The sequence below is a fragment of the Homo sapiens genome, chromosome 12 (genome assembly GCF_000001405.40).
Source record: "Homo sapiens chromosome 12, GRCh38.p14 Primary Assembly".
Classification (NCBI taxonomy): domain Eukaryota; kingdom Metazoa; phylum Chordata; class Mammalia; order Primates; family Hominidae; genus Homo; species Homo sapiens.
Window position 1 is genome coordinate 84,490,331 of NC_000012.12, and position 20,301 is coordinate 84,510,631.

The 20,301-nt window shown below is 37.4% G+C and overlaps 1 long non-coding RNA gene across 1 annotated transcript; it reads right to left on the reverse strand.

Annotated features, from left to right (window-relative positions):
* Nucleotides 1-2,066: 2,066 nt before the first annotated feature.
* LOC105369875 (uncharacterized) lies at nucleotides 2,067-18,576 on the reverse strand. Its single transcript, XR_945151.2, has 3 exons — nucleotides 18,426-18,576; nucleotides 8,118-8,163; nucleotides 2,067-2,599 (listed from the first exon to the last, which is right to left on the reverse strand). It is a non-coding gene; the product is annotated as an uncharacterized LOC105369875 (long non-coding RNA).
* Between the last annotated feature and the right edge of the window lie 1,725 nt (nucleotides 18,577-20,301).

Genomic DNA, 20,301 nt, shown 5'->3' on the forward strand with positions numbered 1-20,301 from the left:
GTCTCTATAAATATTTATTCTTATACAGATAATTGAGAAATTTATAAAAAATGAAGAAGGAGATCTGAAAAGAAAATATAGTGGTTTCAATTTACTACTATTTTTAGGGAGGAAAAATTAGTTCAGAGCTTGTATTGAGGCTAAATTCCACAAAATCTTCCATGACATAACTTTCTATTATTTTGTTCCACCCTGCAGAGTTTATATTCTCCAAGTCTCCTCAAGATTTATTTGGATGCTCCAGACTTGACATCTACATTTTAGTCAATCAGAAAAAGAAAAGGGGGAAAAAGGAGACACAAGCTGTGTCTTAAAAGAACCGTCCTGAATTTTATACACTTCCCTTTTCCTGTATCTCAAAAGCCATATTATACTCAGCCATAGGTAGTCACAAAGGAAACTGGAGTTATTTCAAATGTTATCTTATTCTAAATCAGGAGGAAAACAAATCTTAGGTTTGAGTTAGCAGTCTTTTTCATAGGTATATACCTAAATATTATCAAAACTGATACAAAAAAAAAAAACGTTCCCAAGTTTACTTAACTATTAAGTGTTAGAGCTCAATTTGATATAGCAACATGCTCATTTCAATAAAGTAGCAAGAAGTACAAAGGAAAAATAGTGTTGGCCGGGCACGGTGGCTCATGCCTGTAATCCCAGCACTTTGGGAGAGCAAGGCAGGTGGATCTCCTGAGGTCAGGAGTTCATGATCAGCCTGGTCAACATGGTGAAACCTCGACTCTACTAAAAATAGAAAAAAATAGTCAGGAGTGGTGGCAGGCACTTGTAAACCCAGTTACTTGAGAGTCTGAGGCAGGAGAATCACTTGAACCCAGGAGTTGGAGGTTGCAGTGAGCAGAGATTGTGCTATTGCACTCTAGCCTGGGTGACAGCGAGACTACGTCTCAAAAAAAAGAAAAAAAAAAAAAGAAAGAAAAATCATGTTGATTGAAATAGGTTTTAACGTGAACAACCTGGAACAAGACCATAATGAAATTCATCTGAAATAATGAAAAGAATCAGAAAAAATAAGAGTAGTATAAAGTCAATATTTTCTTTTATTTTTAGGTAAAATACTTCCTGAGATGAAGATATCTAATTTTCACTGGATACAAATTATGCATATCCAGCCCAAGGCAGAATTTGTTGAGAATTCATTAAATGAATTGCTTTAATAAATGAGGGGTGCCCCCACTGATAGTTAGAAATCATCCTATGAATAAATTACACTCATCCAAGTTTTGTATATTGGATACATAAATCTAATTTTGAAGAGCTATATTAAAATTTTCTAGTTTAAAATGTTATAGAGATTAATTCTAACCCATTTTTGATATGTCATAAAATAATCATATTATAATTAAAATAACAAAACTGGAAGTGATGTATTACTATTAAATTCAGTGATCTTTAAATATCTATATGACTAAAACATTTATGTTATAATAAATATTATTCATCTGAGAGAATTTATAGTTTTCAAACACAATCAGAAGAAAAAACGTTATTTATAATTCATTTCTACAACCACTTTTTAATATTTTCATCCTAGTTTTGATGTAAAAGTCTTCTATAATGTTTTAAAACAAGAAGAGTAGAAGACATCTGATGTTCAGCATTACGGTAACATTTTATGCCCAAGTAATCTACTCATATACTTTAAAATAAAATTTAAAAAAAAATCTGGAGCTAAGGCAGGATGATAGAAATAAAAGATTCCCCAATAGAGGAAGAAAACGGCTGACCCAAAGGTTTAAATAAACAATAAAGATAAATCTTAGGTATCCAGAAATTTTTTGAAGTATTCTCTGGAATTTTGGTAGTTTGATATTTTACAAGTTAAAATAAAGTCAATTTATGAAATAAAGAAGCAATAAAGCATCATCAAAGTCTACATCAAAAGAAAGATGTTAAAATGTCATTTCAGAAGACTCAACAAGATTCTCCTCTTTGGTTAAAAAAAATACTGGCTGGGCACAGTGTCTAATGCCTGTAATCCAAGCACTTTGAGGGGAGGCCAAAGCAGGAGAATTTCTTGAGCCCAGGACTTCGAGAGCAGTCTGGACAATATAGTGAGACCTCTGACCCTACGAAATTAAAAAAATAAAGATTAGCTCTGTGTGGTGGTATGAGCCTTTGGTCCTAAATACTTGTGAGGCCGTGGTGGATTGCTTAAGCCTCTGTACTACTTATTGAGTAGTGGCCATGGAAATAAGCCACTCAAATCTCCTGCTTTAGGGAGAATAGTTGACTGACAATCCCAGCTGAGGCTTCTGTAGACTCACATCTATATCAAAGCTCTCCTTCTCCTATGCTGCTCCCAGCCAATTACTGAGAGAACTCTGTAAGATGCTGAGTCATTCCTTTGGAAAGTAGGACTCCTCTGACAGGTGACTTTGACTGGAGGATGCTTTACCCTGGCCATATTTTTCTCAGAACTTCACTGTAGTCTGATGCTTTTTCTGCTCAAACCTCCTTCTTTCCACTCTTCTTCACACAGGTCAAATCTGCATTGTGGTCTGAAGTTTTTCTTCTATTCTTCACAGTCATTTTCTCCAATAAATCTCTTGCAGATCTAATGCTGTCTGGATGTCTGCTTCTTGGAGAAGCAGAAAGAATGCATTTAGTATAGCAAGTTACTTCAGTGAGCGAACATTGGCAACCAAGGTGTAGGAAATTTACTGGTAATATATCCATTCTCAGGATTACTTTTATTGTTAATTTTTGTAAATCTTATCAGCAAATAGCTGACTTTTCCTAGGAACTTTCAAGATAAACTTTAAAGGTAGGAAGAACATTAACGTAGCATGATTTTCAATTTTTGTTTAATGTTATTTTAATTAACTTCAGTCAGAAATATTGTTTAACATGGTACAGAACTACCTATATTAAAACACATGTCCTCAGGTAATGATATATAGCTTGGAGATATTTCTTTTCTCTTAAAAATTTATCTGACAGACCAATCGCAGTGGCTCACACCTGGAATCCCAGCACTTTGGGAGGCCAAGGTGGGTGGATCATGAGGTCAGGAGTTAGAGACCAGCCTGACCAACATGGTGAAACCCCGTCTCTACTAAAAATAGAAAAATTAGCCAGGCATGGTGGCTCATGCCTATAATCCCAGCTACTCAGGAGGCTGAGGCAGGAGAATCACTTGAACCCAGGAGGCAGAGATTGCAATGAGCCAAGATTGCACCACTGCACTCCAGCCTGGGCGACAGAGCAAGACTCCATCTCAAAAAAATAAAAATTTATCTGACAACTGTAAATCTGAGTTATTGAAAGAAGTCAGTGAAAATAAACAACAAAGAATACTATGGAATAAATTTACAAGTATGATATTCATGAGACCCTTTATATATTTATATAGTGAACACATTATCCATAAGCAGATTATGCTTTTTTTATCATTATATGATCCAATAAATTAAATCAATCTATGTTAAAATCTTAGCTTTTCATATGTCATTGTATCTTTATTTTTTGTACTTAAAGTGATAATTTTATTGGATTGACATACAAACATGGAAATATTGATAAGCCCTCTGGCACAGAAAATAAAGTTAAATTGCATTAAAATATCCAAATGCAGGCTAAGTTGAGATCATTAAACAGTTTAAGAAATTTGGAATGAATTATAAGGTAAACACTCTTGTATAAAATAGTCTTTTACATTATCTTCAATTATTATAACCTACTTGATATAAAATTATTTTTCATTGCTAAACACAATTAAGTTTCAGTTAGGGATAAAAGGCAAATTAAGACCCAATTAAAAGTCACCCTTTTATCACTGTATAAAAGTGTCTATCCTGTAGTCTCTCATTAGAATTAATTATAAAGCATACATTAGAAAAAAAGGTATATCATTCAAACTCATGGGAAGACAATACTAAATAAGCAAGCTACACAGATATGATTAGCAGAAGGGTACTATATGGGGTTGAAAAATGCCCCCACATTCCAATTTTTTTCTACTTAAAATTTCAGAATATAAACTTATTTGAAAATGCAATCTTTACAGATGTAATAATTAACTAAGTTTGGATAAGATCATAGGTGATAAGAGTGGTCCCTAAATCCAGTGACTGAAGTCTTTATGAAAAAAGGAGAAAGATTCAGAGACAGACATGGGGAAAACAGCTATTTGTCAACAGTGGCAGGGCTTGGATTGATGCAGCTAAAAGCCAAGGAACACCATGGGTTATGGGTACAACCAGAAGCTTGGAAGAAGCAAAGAAGATATTCTTCTCTAGCTTCTTCAGAAGAGTAGTGGTCCTGCCAAAATCCCGATTTTAGACTTCTGGCTTCCAAAATTGAGAGAGAATAAAATTATGTAGTTTTAAGCCATCTAGTTTGGGGTAAGTTGTTATGACAGTATTAGGGAACTAATATAGATACCTTTCTACAATTAAGAAATTATCTCAGTCATATACAGATGTCTTGCCCTGAGATTGTTCATACATTATTTTATCTTATTTACAAAGGGATGGATGATTTAAAAATATAGAACATTTATAATCTTTCACTAATATGCAAAAGGGAATATTTTAAGTATATCATATTTATGATGATAGTTCAACAGCATTATCTTTAAAATACATATCCATAAAACATTCTTTGTAACCTGGCAGCATTACTCAGAATTAAATTTTTACTTATGATGGAGTACTGGCAATATCTATGTACTAGATATACACATATTAATATTTTCCACATTAAATGTAACTGAAACAAAAAGTAAATAAAGGAGAATGCATTATCTAAACATCTAATAACACATAGTACAGTATAGTAACCAGCTTGTTATATTCTAGTAGCAGAAAATACATGGTTTTTAAAGAGAAAATTAATATATTTATGTTTCAGAGCAACATTTACGGTTACAGAAAAATTGAGAAGAACTTAAAGAGTTTCCACAGAGCTTCTCTTCTCCCACACACCATTTACCTTACTATTAGTACCTTTTATTAATGTGATATATTTGTTAGAATTGATGAACCACTATTAACACGTAATTATCCACTAAAATCCATGTTTTACATTAGGATTCACAATTTGTGTTATATAGTTCTATGGGTTTTGACAAATGCACAATATCATATATTCACTATTACAATATCTAACAGAATGGTTAAGTGCCCTAAAACTCCCCTTCTTTCTACCCATCCCTACCTCCCTCCTTCTCTTCAAACCTCTGGCAACCAATGACTGTTTAACTATTTCTATAGTTTTTCTTTTCCAGAATATCATATCATTGGAAAAAATACAACATATAGCCTTTTCAGACTGGATTCTTTCACTGAGTCATGCGTATTTAAGGTCCTTCTATGTCTTTATGTAGTTTGATAGCTAATTCCTTATTATCACTGAACGATATTTCATTTTTCATTATGTGTATGTAACAGAGTTTATCCATCCATCTCCTAAAGGATATTGTGGTTGCTTCCAAGCTAAAGCAATTATGAATAAAGCTGCTATAAACATCCATGTGCAAGTTTTTGTGTGGACATAAGTTGTCAACTAATTTGTATCAGTACTTAGGAGCACATAATTGCTGGATCATATTGTAAGCCTATGTTTAGCTTATAAGAAACTGCCAAACTGTGTTCCAAAGCAACTGTGCCGTATTGAATTTTCAACAAAATTGAATTAAAGTTCCTGTTGTTCCACATTCTTGTCAGCATTTGGTCTTGCCTGTGTTTTGGTTTTTAGCCATTCTAATAGGTGTAAAGTGGTATTTCATCGTTGTTTTAATTTGCATTTTTTAAATGACATATGATGTTGAGTATCTTTTCATTTGCCTATCTGCCCTCTATATATCTTCCTTAGCAAAGTATTCATATGTTCATGTTGTTTTGCTCTTATTTTATTTAGATTGTTTTTTATGCTGAGTTTTAAGAGCTCTTTGTATATTTCTGATGTACAAATACATGTGATAAAGGATGTATCAGATAGATGTTTTCCTGTTATGTGTTTTGCCAATACTTTCCCCAGTCTGTGGTGTGTATTTATATTCCTTTAATTTTAACAGAGTAGAAGTTTTCAATTTTAATAAAATCCACTGTAACAACTTGTTTTCTGTTTTGTTATAAATTGTTATACCTAGAAACTCATCACCAAACCCAAGATTATCTTCTAGAAGTTGTATAATTTTGCATTTACATTTATGTCTATCAAATACATATCCACATTTAGTTTTGGTGTTTGTTTTTTGCATGTGGATATCCAGTTGGCCCATTACCATTTGTTGAAAATATAATCTTTTCTCCAATCAATTGCCTTTGCTTCTTTACCAAAAGTTAGTTTACTATATTGGTGTGAGTCTATTCCTAGGCTCTTTATTGAATTCTATGCATTATTTTGTTTATTAGTTTATCAATACCACACTCTCTTGATTACTTTAGTTTTTATGATAAGGCTTAAAGTTGGGTAATGTCAATCTTTGTTCTTCGTTAATGTTATATTGGCTACTCTGGGTCTTTTGCCTGTTTATATAACCTTTGCAATCTATCTGTAAATGTCCACAAAATAACGTGGTTGGATGGATTAGACTTTTTTTTTTTTTTAGAGAAAAAGGCACTAAAAATGGAAATCTGGGTAAATGTAAACATTTGGCAAATGCTGAATTTTTCTTCACTTAGTTAAAAAAATTAAAAAGTGTAAAATAATTTGTTATCTTTAAACTAGTACTTAAGCATAAATGCATAGCAAGAACTGCAAATACTTTACTTGAGAAGAACAAATTTTCACTAACAGAATTTACTATTATATTCCTTTCCTAATTAGCACTGATTTTAAAAATTAAGTCTATCTTCTATAGGTTATTTGAATGTCTAATAGCTTAGGATAACAAGGGAACAAAGGAAAAGTCAAACATTGTGAAACATGTAAAATATCTCACTATAAAATAATCATAACAATCTCAAGAAAAAGAAAGCAACTTGTTTAAAAATGTGTACATATGATTTTTAAAAGGCAGAACTTGTTCAGAGATTTCACAATATAATATGAAGCTCACCCACTGAAAAAGCACTGATTTGGGTGCAAATGAAATAGGTTAAGAAATGAATCTTTGAGAATCAAAAAAATTAATCCAATAATGAAAGCTAACAGGACCATAGGCCCACAGGGCCACAGGTGATCATAGCATCACTTATTTACCTCACAAAGGTAAATGAATTTTGTTCTCACAAAACCTTAGGAAGTATCACCTATGGTCTTATTAGGAAGCAGAACTTCACTAGGTTTTAAGACTAAAATAGTTTGATATAAATAAGCAGTTATAAATGTTTTGGAGAATCAAAAGAGTAAAAAAGAAACAGAAAATATGAGATAGCAAACACTGTAAACTACCACTGATCACTATTCTTCCCTCAGGATGGGCAGTTGAAGTTGTCAAAATATAAGCCTGGAACAGGGGTACCAGAGAGCTAAAATTCAGACCTCTGAGGAGAGGTAACACCTGGTTGGTAGTGTTGGTATCTCAGAAATTTGAAAGAACAGCATAGTAAGCCTAGTTCTGGGAGTCGTGTAAAAATAAATATAATATACAAAATTTGAAAACTGGAAGCAACTGCCTTTGTCAATGGAAAGGCTGTTGCTGAAGCTTCCTGCCAGAAACAGCAAGGAAATGGACATGTATTTTCTCCTGTCTTCTAATTGCCCACTAGAGCCCCCTGTTGGCAGAGTCCAACAGGAATTAGCTGATAATGGAGAAATGAAATTTGCAGAATCTCAGAATCACTAAGCTGTATATAGGAGAAATAATTTAAAATTATTTTTTAAACAATGTACTAATGATAATCAAACATTCATTAGTGAAGGCAGAAGACACAGAGGCTTAGAAAGATAGTCTCTGACTCAGAACATTTAGTACAACATGCAATCAGGATTCAATACCGGGTTTCCCAGTCACAGAGATTGCATTACTCTAAGAAGGCTACACGCAACAATATGTCTCTTTCATACATTTTATTATGCTGTATAGAATGGAAAAAAGACTAATTTAGTCAATATTTGGACCCCTATCTGGTAACTTAAGTAGTGACTAATAAGTAATACCTTAATGTTTCAAATATGGAGCAAATTCTAGATACAAATAGAATACCTACCTCAAGGTGAGATGGTGGCCTCTTTGTTAAACACAGGTGGGGTAAACTAAAAAAAATGTGTAAAACAGTATCAATGATGTGGCAAGGATCTGTAATGTTTCAGCAATTTTGTGAACTTTTAGTTACTATGTTAGCATGTGTTTTAAGAAAGTACTATAGTAAACTAATTTTATAGTATTACATACTTTTATACTCAATCTTTAAATTTTAATTTAGCCAAACTGCACATGGAACCACATAATTTACAAAAAGCGTCTATGTTTTGAAGGTTTACTTTTTCCAATGTTTATAAAAGGCAAATTCTTCTATTGGGATATACCCAGTGATGTTTAGTTATTTACAAGTGCTCTGTGCTCTACACTATTCAAACTTTGAAACCCATTTGTTTCAAAGAATAACTGTAAAAATATGTGTATGACATTTATATTCCCATAGGTTCCATATAATTATTCTTAGATTACAATTAGCTTTTTGTCATGCTGAATACAAAGAACCTATACAAATGTAAAAGACGGCATTCATAAACTTCATTCAAGCATTTCATATTTCCCTGTATATGTCTGAATAGAGTGTGGCTTAAAATCTTTAATGTATATCCTGATTTATATCATAAAACCAGTGGATATTTCTAGAGCAATAATAAAAATATCATACAGACTAAAAAAATTGTTTACTGATGACACAATTCTGGAAAATGCTGCATAATAGTATCATGATGTTTTTGTTGCAAGAAAGATCTGATATAAATCCACACATAAAGTGTGTGTGTGTATGTGTGCATGTGTGTGTGTTCTTTCATTTTTAGTCAATTAATAATAGAAAATACCAAATGAACTTATGGTGAAATGATTTCTAGGCAAAATGTTGAAAGTTTGAACTTCCTGCTACATAACATAACTACCCACAATAAATTGATAAGCTCAAAAAGATTTGAACAGATTGCAAGCAGAATTAGAGGTAATGGAGAGAACCCAGAACATTATGGATGGGAAAATAAAAGTCTCTTATTTCCTATCTCTTCAGTCATAAAATATTCTCAAACTAAGATACAGCCTTAAAACACAGAAATAATCAATGTCAAAGGAATCATTTTAATAACATTTGTGAAATAATTAAGATGACATCTAGTTAATCTTTTCATTTGGGCCAAGTGACTTACAAAAGGAATAAGTACATGGTTTTGCTGAAGGTCATGGTGCCTACATTACTTGTACTTATATCTAGAAGGAAAGAAATGTATCTAAAAATATGAGTATAGATTGTGGTAAATAAAGTTGACTGAAATCAAATACGTAGAAAGCCCACGAAAATTTTAAAAGAAATGTAAAAAATGTTTACAAGATTTACGTTTCTTTTAAAAAACGAAATGTAAATCATGCTTTGACTGAGATGGTTCAAGATGAGAAAAGTTATCTTGGTCTTCAACTTTCTATAGGCACGAAGAAGAATAGAAAAAAGTGGTTCATCCACCAAAAGGCATATTTTACAATTCTCTAGGAATGGCCAAAGAAAACTATGAAAAGAGAAATACGTTCCTGAGGGCAGATCAAAGAACCTCGGAGAATAATGGAATGGTGAATTAGACCCAGGAAGCAGAATCAGCATGTAAAATGCATTTTATACCTCACAGATACCAAGACATAGCATCGTTTGTCCAACAGGATTTCACAAAGTTTATGAATAATGGATAAGCGACTAATACATATCTCAAATGTACTAAATTTGAGTTGTTATTGAGAATATACTTACCCTTTCCTACCATTGCATGTTGGGAGAATGTTTCCTCTTAAATTCATAAATCATTGAATCATGAAGAACTCATCTAAACTTGTTATAGATTGTAGGATCTTAAACTTCAGGCCTGCTGATGTGATTAGATTAGGTGTCCTGAGATGACTGTGTTTTACTAAGTTTTTAAATATTATGATTATGACCAGGAGAATACACTGCTTTCAAAGGAATTATTGGTGAACATTCTCTATTCCTCCTTGTGTCTGTGTGCTTTGATAGATAATTTTGTAGTTTTTCTCATTAAAAAAAAAAGGGTTAAGTGCACTTCTGTTGGCTTTGGTCAATGATGAGGATGGAAGTGACAGTGTGCTAGTTCTGCACATAACCTTATGTGGCCTCAAATGATTACTGCTTGGTCATCTGTGCTTTGCTAACACTCTTTTAAAAGCATGGTTAAGCTGACCCACAGATCCATGAGAATAAATAAGTTTTGCTTTGAACCATTCAGTTTTGGGGTGTTTTTTATATAGCATTGTCATGGTACTAGCTAACCGATACAAATATAACCTTACAAATGAATCAAAGGATGAGACATTTACATTATAATTTTTATAACATACACTTAAGTTGTTTTTCAAGATGACTTTATCAATTTATTCTCCTCTTAGCATTACTGAGAAAATCATGTATCTCACATTCTTACATGCTGACAGTGTCGTATTTTTATTTTCATGTCAATCAAATGAATGATTAGTTAGCTCCTGTTCAAATTGAGTATTCAGATTTCTAGTGATTTTCAGCACCTTCTGTGAATTCAGTTCTCATATTTCCACATTTTAAAATAATTTGCCTTTTTGTTAACGTGTGGGAGTTTTGCTGTAATTATTTTTACATAATCAAATTGCTATTACTTTATTGAGCAGTGCAAATTCTATATGCTTTTCTGAGAATGCAGATTTTGTCATCAAGTGGTAAAATAATTGCTTTATGCAGAAGTATATAACTTTAGTGTAGGCAAGTTTATAGTTTATTATTTTAGATTTTGGGTCTTTTAAGAAAATTTTCGTGTACCATAATGTCTAAAAGTATTTTTATATTTTCTTTCAAGCTATTTTTTTTTTTTGTAATTTTGCCTTAGAAATGCACATATTTACTATGGGTTGAATTTCATCCCTCCAAAATTATATGTTGGGATTCTAACGCCTATTCTCTCAGAATTTGACCTAATTTGAAAAGTGTTATAAATGAAATTAGTTAAGTTAAAATGAGGTCATTCTGGAGTAGGGTAAGGTCTTAGTCCAATATCACTAGTATCCTTAATAAAAAAAAAAAAAGGGGGGGGCGGAATTTGAAAACAGAGACAGAGATGGACAGGGAGAATGCCATGTATGATACAGCTGGGAGTCCAGGACAGCTAAGGATTAATGGTCACCCAGTGGACCCAGAAGACAAAGCATGGGGCCACAGAGGATGAGTCTCAGGCCTTGAAATCTGACAGAATTTGCTCTGTTGGTGTTTGAACTTGTTCAGGGACTGTAATGTCTTTATTTCTTCTAATTTCTTCCTTTTGGAATGTGGATATTTATTATATGCTTGTCTCCCTATTTAACGTAGAAGGTGATAACTTGTCTGGTGTTACAGGTTTACAGGTAAAGGGAGATTTTTGCTCCAGGATGAATCATACATCAAGTCTCACCCACACTGGTTTAAATGATTTAGATGATGAGACTTTGGACTTTGAACTGATGATATTTAGATAAGACTTTAGACTTAGAGTTAATGCAGGATCTTGGAGATACTGGGATTGATGGATATATTTTGCACAGGGGAAGGACACAAATTTTGGAGAGTCGGGAGGTAGACTTATTATTGGTGGGTGAGTCGGCAACTATCCAGAGAACTCCAGAGTGACACCTCTGCAGGAATCTCAGTCCCTTGTCTTGGACCTCAGCTTCACTTCACTTAAGTATAGTGTATCTGGATGGCAACCTCTGGTACTTTAATAGCTATGGGAGTAGATAATAGAACAGTGAAGGGGACCTTCCAGACCTTCCAGTTAGTTGGGATTTCAGGGTTCCATCCTTCCAACCTTTCATGAGAACTAGTGAGCCTGGAGGGTATAAAGTCTGAGCTTTTTCCTCTTTCAATTTTGGGTTTATTTGTAACCAGTATTCCCGGAGGCCTGTTGGAAGCCTGCCATAGAACAGACATACTGGGTGACTTTGGTAGTTTCTTCATCTAGCAATAAGTCAGAATATAGGAATGGTCTATCATATAAGGCCTACTAGGGGCTTAATTGTAAAGAAGCCTTAGGGGCAACATGGATTCAAAGGAGGGCTAGAGGTCAGAGGTCCACCCATGACTTGCTGTTTCCTGACACAGTTTATTGAGGATGTGTTTGAGGGCTTGGTTATTTCCTTCCACCTTTCCTGAAGATTGTGGTCTCCAGGCAGACTAAAGGTATCATTTCATGCCAAGGGCATTACTAACCTGTTGAGTCATTTGGGGAATTAAGGATGGGCCATTGTCATTTTGCAATGACCTAGGAAGCCAAATCGGGGAATAAGTTCCTTGAGGAGGAATTCAGCTACTTAACTGTGCCTTCTCAGTCTTTGTGCAACAGGTCTCTACCCATCATGTGAAATTATCTACACAGTTTAAGAGGTAATTATATCTATGGCATGTGGGGATCTGAGTGAAATCCATCTTCCCATCTCCAGGGTATTTACCTCTTCTTTGGATCGGACTTATTAATGGAGGAGGCTTCCCTCTCTGGGGATTATTTATGGCACACAAGGAGCAAGCCTGACAAGCCTTCTCAATAGCCTTGTTCAGTCCCCTCCTGCTAAACACCCACTTACAAATTTTCCCTAGACTGTCCTTTCCAAAGTAGCAGGAGTCATGCAGACTCTGGATGACCTTCCACTGGGAGGCCTTTGGCAGATGGAAAAGTGCCCCCAGGCTGTACCATCCATTGGTTTCTTTTTGATATCCCTGTTGGGTGGTCCAAATCTATTTCTTCCTGGGTGTACTGGAGTGGGGGTAGTTCAGTGGGGAGAGAAGGGAGCAAGGCTCCCAGAAATGTAAACTTTGGAACAGTTGCTTCTTTAGTTTTCTGGTCAGCCAAACTATTTTCTTGTGCGGTTTCATCGTGGCCCTCTGGTGTCCCTTGTAGTGCACTACTGCCACCTTCTGGGGCAAATGAACAGACTCTAGCAGCTCTAAGATTTGAGGCCTGTACTTAATAGGAATATTCCCTTTCCTTCCAGATAGCTGCCTGGGTGGGAAGGATCAAAGAAGCATGTTTGGAGTCTGTATAAATGGTTATTCTTTTTCATTCCCCTAGTTTTAGGGCTCTGGTTAGCATAGTGAGTTAAGCTCTAGTTAACTGAGGTCCCTGGGGATAAAGCTCTAGCTTCGGTCACTTGGTAGAGGTACACCAAAGCATTATCCTGCATGTCTAGTTCCATTCCAGACAAAACTGCTTCCATCTGAAAATCATATTTTGATGGGATTTCCCAAGGGTTGGTCCTTTAAGTCAGCCCTGCTGGCATAAATTTGGCTGAGTACTTCACAGCATGAATGTGCCAGGTTATTGTCTCTTGGTAGGGGCAAGAGGGTGGCTGGGTTGAGGGTCTAGCACCACTCAACTGTTACCTGCAGGTTTTTTAATAACAAAACCTGGTACTTCAACAATCTGCTGTCAGTGAGCCACTGTGGCCCTTTTTTGTCCAGTAAGGGGCCAACTTGGTGGAACATTAGGAGCTGGGTTGACTGCCCCATGGTGATTTCAAAGGCCTCCCCAAGTAGGAGGACTGCTGCAGCCACTTCCTTGAGACTGTGTGACCACCCCTGTGCAAACACCCCTGTGCAACTTGGTCTAGGTACTTTGAAAAATTACCTTATGGACATTTGATTGGCCCAATGGTTTGAGTTAGACCTCCTAGGGCTACACCTTGCCTTTCAGTGATAAACAGTTGAAATGGTTTGCTTAGTATAGGTAGCCCAAAGGTTAGGGCTTGTAAGACGGCAGTTTTTAGCTGCCTAAAGGTTTGCTCTTGATTCTTCTCCCAGAGAAGTGGGTCCCTATCCGTCCCTTTTGTTAGAGCCTGATATAAGGACTTAATTCCACCATAACCCAGTATTCAGTTTCTAATATTCCGTGATTCCCAGAAAGGCCTGCAGCTGCTTTTGGGTGCTCCAGGTAGCTGTCTTAAGAATAACCTGTATCCATTCTCGGGAGAGCTTACATTCTCCAAGGGTCATAATTATTCCCAGGTATTTGACCCCCTGTCTTAGTAGCTGTGCCTTGGCCTCCAACACTTTGTATCCCTGGTCTGCAAGAAAATCCCTGTCTGGACTAAATGTTGGATTCCCAACTCTCTTGTCAGGAAGCAGATTAACAGTCATCCATGTACTGTAGGAGATGTGCCCCCTCCCCCCATAAGAGTTAGATCCTGCAAATCTTTAGCCAAGGCTTGCCCAAACAAATGGAACTATCTCTCAAACCTCATGGAAGCACTGTCCAAGTAAGATTCCAGGTAAGATGTTGACACCTACATTTTTCATTATCCCTTTCAAATGCAAAGAGAAATTGAGACAGCAACAGCAGGTCTAGGGGGACACAAAAGAAGGCATCCTTGAGGTCTGGGACTGAAAACCACTGAGCATCTGGAGGTAATTTCCCTAGAATTACATATGGGTTGGAGACCATAGGATGTATTGGGACTACTACCTCATTTATTATTTGTAAGTCCTGAACTAGTCTGTATTCACCATTGGTCTTTTTAATGGGAAGACTGGAATGGTTACAGGGTGAGCTGTATCACCACAGTCCATGTTTTAGAAACTTCTCAATCAAGAGCCAAAGTCTTTCTTTGGCCTCTGGTAGAAGAGGAAAGTGCTTTCTACAAGGACAGCTAGAAGGGCTTTTGAGCTGAATTACTACTGGAATTGACGTTATAGCCCTTCCTTTGTAGTCTTGTGTCCCAAACTTCCAGGTTATTGGGAAGATCTGTGGGCAGTTCATCCCTGTGTGTGGTCTCTTTGAGGCATAAGATTGCATTTGGAAAAGTAGGAGTTGGCCCTGCAAAAAAAGTAATTGACCTTCTAGTCTGAACAATATATCTCTGCACAAAAGAGATGTAGGGCATTCTGGCATCACTAAAAATGAATGAGAAAAGAGTTTCCCCCAACAGGCAGCACAGAGAAGTAAACCTCCAGGTTATGAACACCCCATTTATCCCCATTACCTGGCAGGACTTGGGATAATTGTCAGGAAAAGAGGTAAGAATTGAGTAGGTAGCATGCGATCCAAAAGGAAGGTTATTGTCCTACCTGCCACATCCAAAGAAGGCCTTGGCTCCATCCCTTCAATAATGATGTTTGATCTGGGAGCCAGCTGGAAAAGAGGGTCCCTTCAACTCAAGGCCATCAGGAGTTGGGATTCTGTCCCAAGGGCCCTTCAGCCCTCAGGGCAGTCTTGTCTCAAGTGGTCAAGCTTGTGGCAGAGGGGACAAGCCATACAGGGTTTGTTCCCATTTACCCCATTGGGGCAGCTTGCCCTCCAGTGGCCTGGCTTCCCACACCAATGGCAGTTACCTGGGGGAGTATTCCCAGGGCAACCTACTGGGGCAAGTGAACTTGTAAGGCAGCCAATAGTTGAAGCTGCCACCTTTCCTTTTGCATCTTTTTTTTCCTGAGCCCTTCCCTCTTCCTTCCAGCCCCAGTTGTAAAAGACTGAGGAAGCTATTTTGAGGATGTCAGGCATAACGATGTTGGGGCCCAGTGATAGTTTTCAGAATTTCTTCTGAATATCTGGGGCTGCTTGCATTAGCAAATAGCCCTTTAGGACAAGTTGCCCTTCTGGTGTTTCTGGGTTTAGGTTTCATGAGGGCATCTTGTAGCCTCTCAATGAATATTGTGGGGTTTTCAAGAGGACCTTGATTTATTAAGGACAATTTATTATAGTTTACTGGATTTTTTCTGCTAGCTCTGTCTCTCAATTAAACCAATGGACACATGGATTCTTGCCCAAATACCCGCCCTGGGTATTGCAATCCCTGTTGGGGTCAACCTGGGAACTGTGGTGGCCCCTACAGAGTAGCCACCAGGGTTAATCATTTGCATTGCATTTGCAAATCGCTGGGCTGCCTCCATAATGGAGTCACATTCTCCCTTGGAAAGTGGCCCAGTATAACTGTGAGGTTCTTCCAAGTGAGCTCAAATGTTAGGCCCAGTTTACGGAACCCTTCAATGTATTTGTCAGAGTCATCCATACACTTTCCTAGTTTGCTGTAATCTGTCTCAGATCTTGCATAGTGAATCGAGCCTGAACCCTAGTGGGCCAGCTGGGACTGCTAACGTCCTGAAGGGAACATAAGCCAAAGGGGAGGTGTTCTGAGAATAGCTCTGATTAGGGAGGGAAAGGCTCCAGGATTTTGAAAGACTTGGATATAATGAGTTAGAAGGGGCCGTGGGGTTTAACTGATACTATAGCTGGATCAGTGTATAAGCCCAACGAAGGTCAGGGTTGTTTCCTAGGTCCACAAAAGCCTGCACACGGGATTTCTGTCCATTTCCTCTGCTAACAGCAAAACAATTCCAATTGATACATCATATTAAAATTTATGCTTCCTTTTACAGCCAAGATTTCTGGCCCCAGAGCTTGTATCGAACCCATGCTATGTTACAGAAAAATATTAGCCTTTTTTTCTTTAGAGTTTGAGGGTCAAACTTTTTCCAGTTCTTGAGGATATATCTGAGAGGCATGTTCTGTGGTATGGAGATGCAATTACCCATTTGTAAAGAAAGAACAGAGGAGAGAAGGGGAAAAAAGGCACCCCCTTTTATTTCCCTATTATCCTTGAATAGGGCATTTGTCTTTCACCCCTGGGATTTCAGAATGAGCCAGTCTCACCGGGTACCCTTAATTTTCGTTCCATCTTGTTTTAAGGAGGCACGATTATCCACTTGAGAACAGAGGGCATATGGGAATGAACAAAGGCCCTCTAATCATCCCTGGGGTTCCAGAATGAACTGGTATCACCGGGTACCCTGAACCTTACCTTTACCTCTGTTCTAATGGTAATCTGTTCTGTGCCTGTAGCCTCGCACCAGCCTTCATCTCTGTCCTATGGATAATTTGGTTTCCTGTGTTTTTGGCCTCAGGTAGGCCTATATGCTTGACTCTAGGACCTTGCATTGACCCTTGTCCGGAGAATCCTAGCAATGAAATAATTTCCCATCCTTTTGTGTTCCCATTCCCCAGGTCCTTTCAGGCAGATGAGGACCCTGTTTCCAGCCAAGAGCCGTAATGAGGCTGGGCTCCCTTTTTCTCTGAATAGCCTTGCCTTGGCAATCTTTGTTGATGTTGAGAATGAGTTGGAGAACGTCAGAAGAAAATAAGAAAATGTTACCCTTGATAGGCAATGTGCAAAAGAAGTGTTTAAAATAAGCAGGGCAATCCCTCTGTAATAGGCAGATAGGGAAGGAAGCATTGGGGATGCTCATGGAAAGCTCTTGTGCTTTCACAGAAACACCAGCTTCTGGTCCCTAGAGAGAGTGCTTGTCAGCATTCTTGACATAAAGGAGAAAGCCCTGGAGAACCAGAGAGTTTGGAATAAGAGCTCTCATCAGGCACAGAAAAAAAAATGCTTATTCCCCCCCAAAAAAAACTAGCCCCAGTATTGAGGTAGGGAATGTCCTTAGTGGACCACAAATGGAGGTTCTGTGAAAGTTGATAAAGCTCTTTAAGAACCAGCAGAAAACTAAGTCCTGGAACATGATGGGGATAAAGAGTGAATAGTAAGCAACCAGGAGTTGACAAAACCAGGGCTCCCACCAGTGCTCGTTTTGACAGTGAGCCAAGAGGCAGGAGATGGGCTGGAGATCATCTGGACTGGGGGAGTAAAATCAAGTGCAGATCTCCGGGGACACCAATAAAGGTTTCCGCCTCTTGGTTGCCAGGCAGACACAACAAGGGCTGCCAGCACACAAATGACAAACAGAGAGTGTATGTTTCAAGCAGGAAAAGAACTTGCAAGCACACAGTGAGAGCAGATAGGAGGATGATTTGCCCTTGAGGCCAATATTCCTGCCAGTGTGCAAGGCCATTTCAGAGTACAGAGAAAAGAGCAGGAAAATAGATGGTGCAGGTGCAGGTTTAGGGAAAGAGCTGACTTTAGCTGAAGGAGAAGCAGGGAAGTTCCCCAGAAATTTCACAGTGCAGGCTTAGCTCCACCACCCTTGCACACTCCCTGTTGGGAGGGGCATAGTAGTTTAGGACCCTAAACTCCTCCCACCTCTGTGAGTCACCCATCAGGATGACCTGAGAAACCAGAGGGAACAGAATCACTGTGGCCAAGGGGAGTGCTTCTGGGGAACAGTTTGTAGGTAGGAGAAAGGCAAAGGGAAGTGAAAAAGGAAAAGAAAGAAACAGGCAGGAAGAAGAAAAAGGGGAGAGGAAGGGAAAGCAAAAGGTAGGAGACAAAAAGGAAAAAAGAGAAAGGAGAAGAAACCACATACAAGGGTTTGAATGCCTCTAGTGGAAGAACGTGAGGCATTGCAGGGCCTTACCACTAGATGATGGATCTGAGTCATGGCACCGAAGTACATTACCAGCTGGTGAGCTGTCCGAAGAAACTCCAGAGTGGCAACTCTGCAGCAAACTTGGTAGTTTGACTTCTCAACGCAGAGAATTCAAATGAGAGACACAGGCAAGGTTTAAAGAAGGAGAGAGAATTTCTTTTAAGCAAAGTGAGAATTTATTAGAGAAAGTAGGATACTCTGGGAAGAAGGCCAAGTGGATGACTTGAAAAATTGACTTCCCTGTTCTCTTTTTTGTTTAGACTCTAGAGATTTTATACCCCATAATGTTTCCCAGGCTCTCTATCTCCTCCCTTTCTTCCCCTGGGCGGGCTGTTGCTTAACTGTTGCATATAAGGTGGCCTGCCAGCACTTGTCAGGGGCCACATGTGCAGTGTGTTTACTCAGGCCCTGTACATACTTGTTAGTGGCAATTCACCCTTACTGGTCAAGTACACCCAGAGGAAGGTCATATCATATACTGGTCAAATTCTGCCATCTTCTACCCTTTTACTGGGCATGCTTGAAACCTTATCAGGAATTATGGCTTACTAACTCCAGGTTTTCTGTCTGTTGCAACACTCCTGTCATTCCCAGTACCAGTCATGGCCAGTTATTATCTCAGAGGGATAGTTTTATGCCCACCTGTCTTTCACTCAATGAGATACCAAGGAAAAAAGAGAAAGGAGTCCCTCCCTGGGGTACCTCCCTTTTTCCTGCTCATTATTTCAGAGGGACAATTTATAATCGTCTGACTGTGACTTGATAAATGCCCAGCATTCCCAGGCACTGTCTTTCCTGCCCTGCTCATGTCTAGCTACCTGCTCTAACAGACTGTTAGAGGTTGAATTGTGTATTCAAAAATATGTGTTGAAGTTCTAATCCCTACTCCTTAAGAATCTGATCTAATTTAGAAATAAGTCTCCTGTAGGTCTAATTAGTTAAGTTAAAATCAGGTCATACTAGAGTAGTGTAGAGCCTTAATCCCATATTACTGGTATCCTTATAAGAGGAAGGAAATTTGGTCACAGAGACAGAGACCAATATAAGTATAATGCCATATGATGAAAGAGGCATAGATTGCTGTGAGGTGCCTTTCTGCCAAGGGGTGCCAAGGATTAATGGTTATTAGAAGCCACAAACAGGAAGGTAGTATTCTACCCAGAGTCTTCAAAGGAGCATGAGCCTGCCGACATCTTGAATTTGGACTTCTAGCCTCCAGAACTGTGAAATAATAAATTTCTGTTTTTTACCACCCAGTTTGTGACACTTTGTTGGAGTAGCCCTAGAAGACTAATAATATTTAAAATATCAGACTATACTTTTAGTTATGGTGGGAAGTATAAATCCAAGTTTATTACTCTTATGTGGCTAGCTATTTTCCCAGCAATATTATTTAATAGTACATTTTTCACACATGCATACACATAAATTCTTCTAACTCTGAAATTGAGTCCTACAAGTTACATATCATTTTATTTTGTCTACTTTTAACTCTGAAATTGAGTCCTACAAAAGTTACATATTATTTTATTTTGTCTACTTTTAATAATAATTTTATGGTAACTGTAATTTTATAATATGTCTTAATATTCTATCCCTCTTCTTTCTCCTATTTCAAATTTTCTATTTTGGGCTTTTTGCTTCTCTATATGAATATTTGGCTTAATTTATCAAATTATGTATTATAAGTTTATAATATTTATAAGAATCTATAAAATTGAAAACATTAAAGAATTTGATTTAATTGTAAGTTATATTGAAGAAATAAACATCTTTGCTATATTAAGTCTTACCATTTACAAATCAGATATATCTCCATTTTATATTTATTTCTTATTTTGACTATTATTCATTAGAGTTTAAT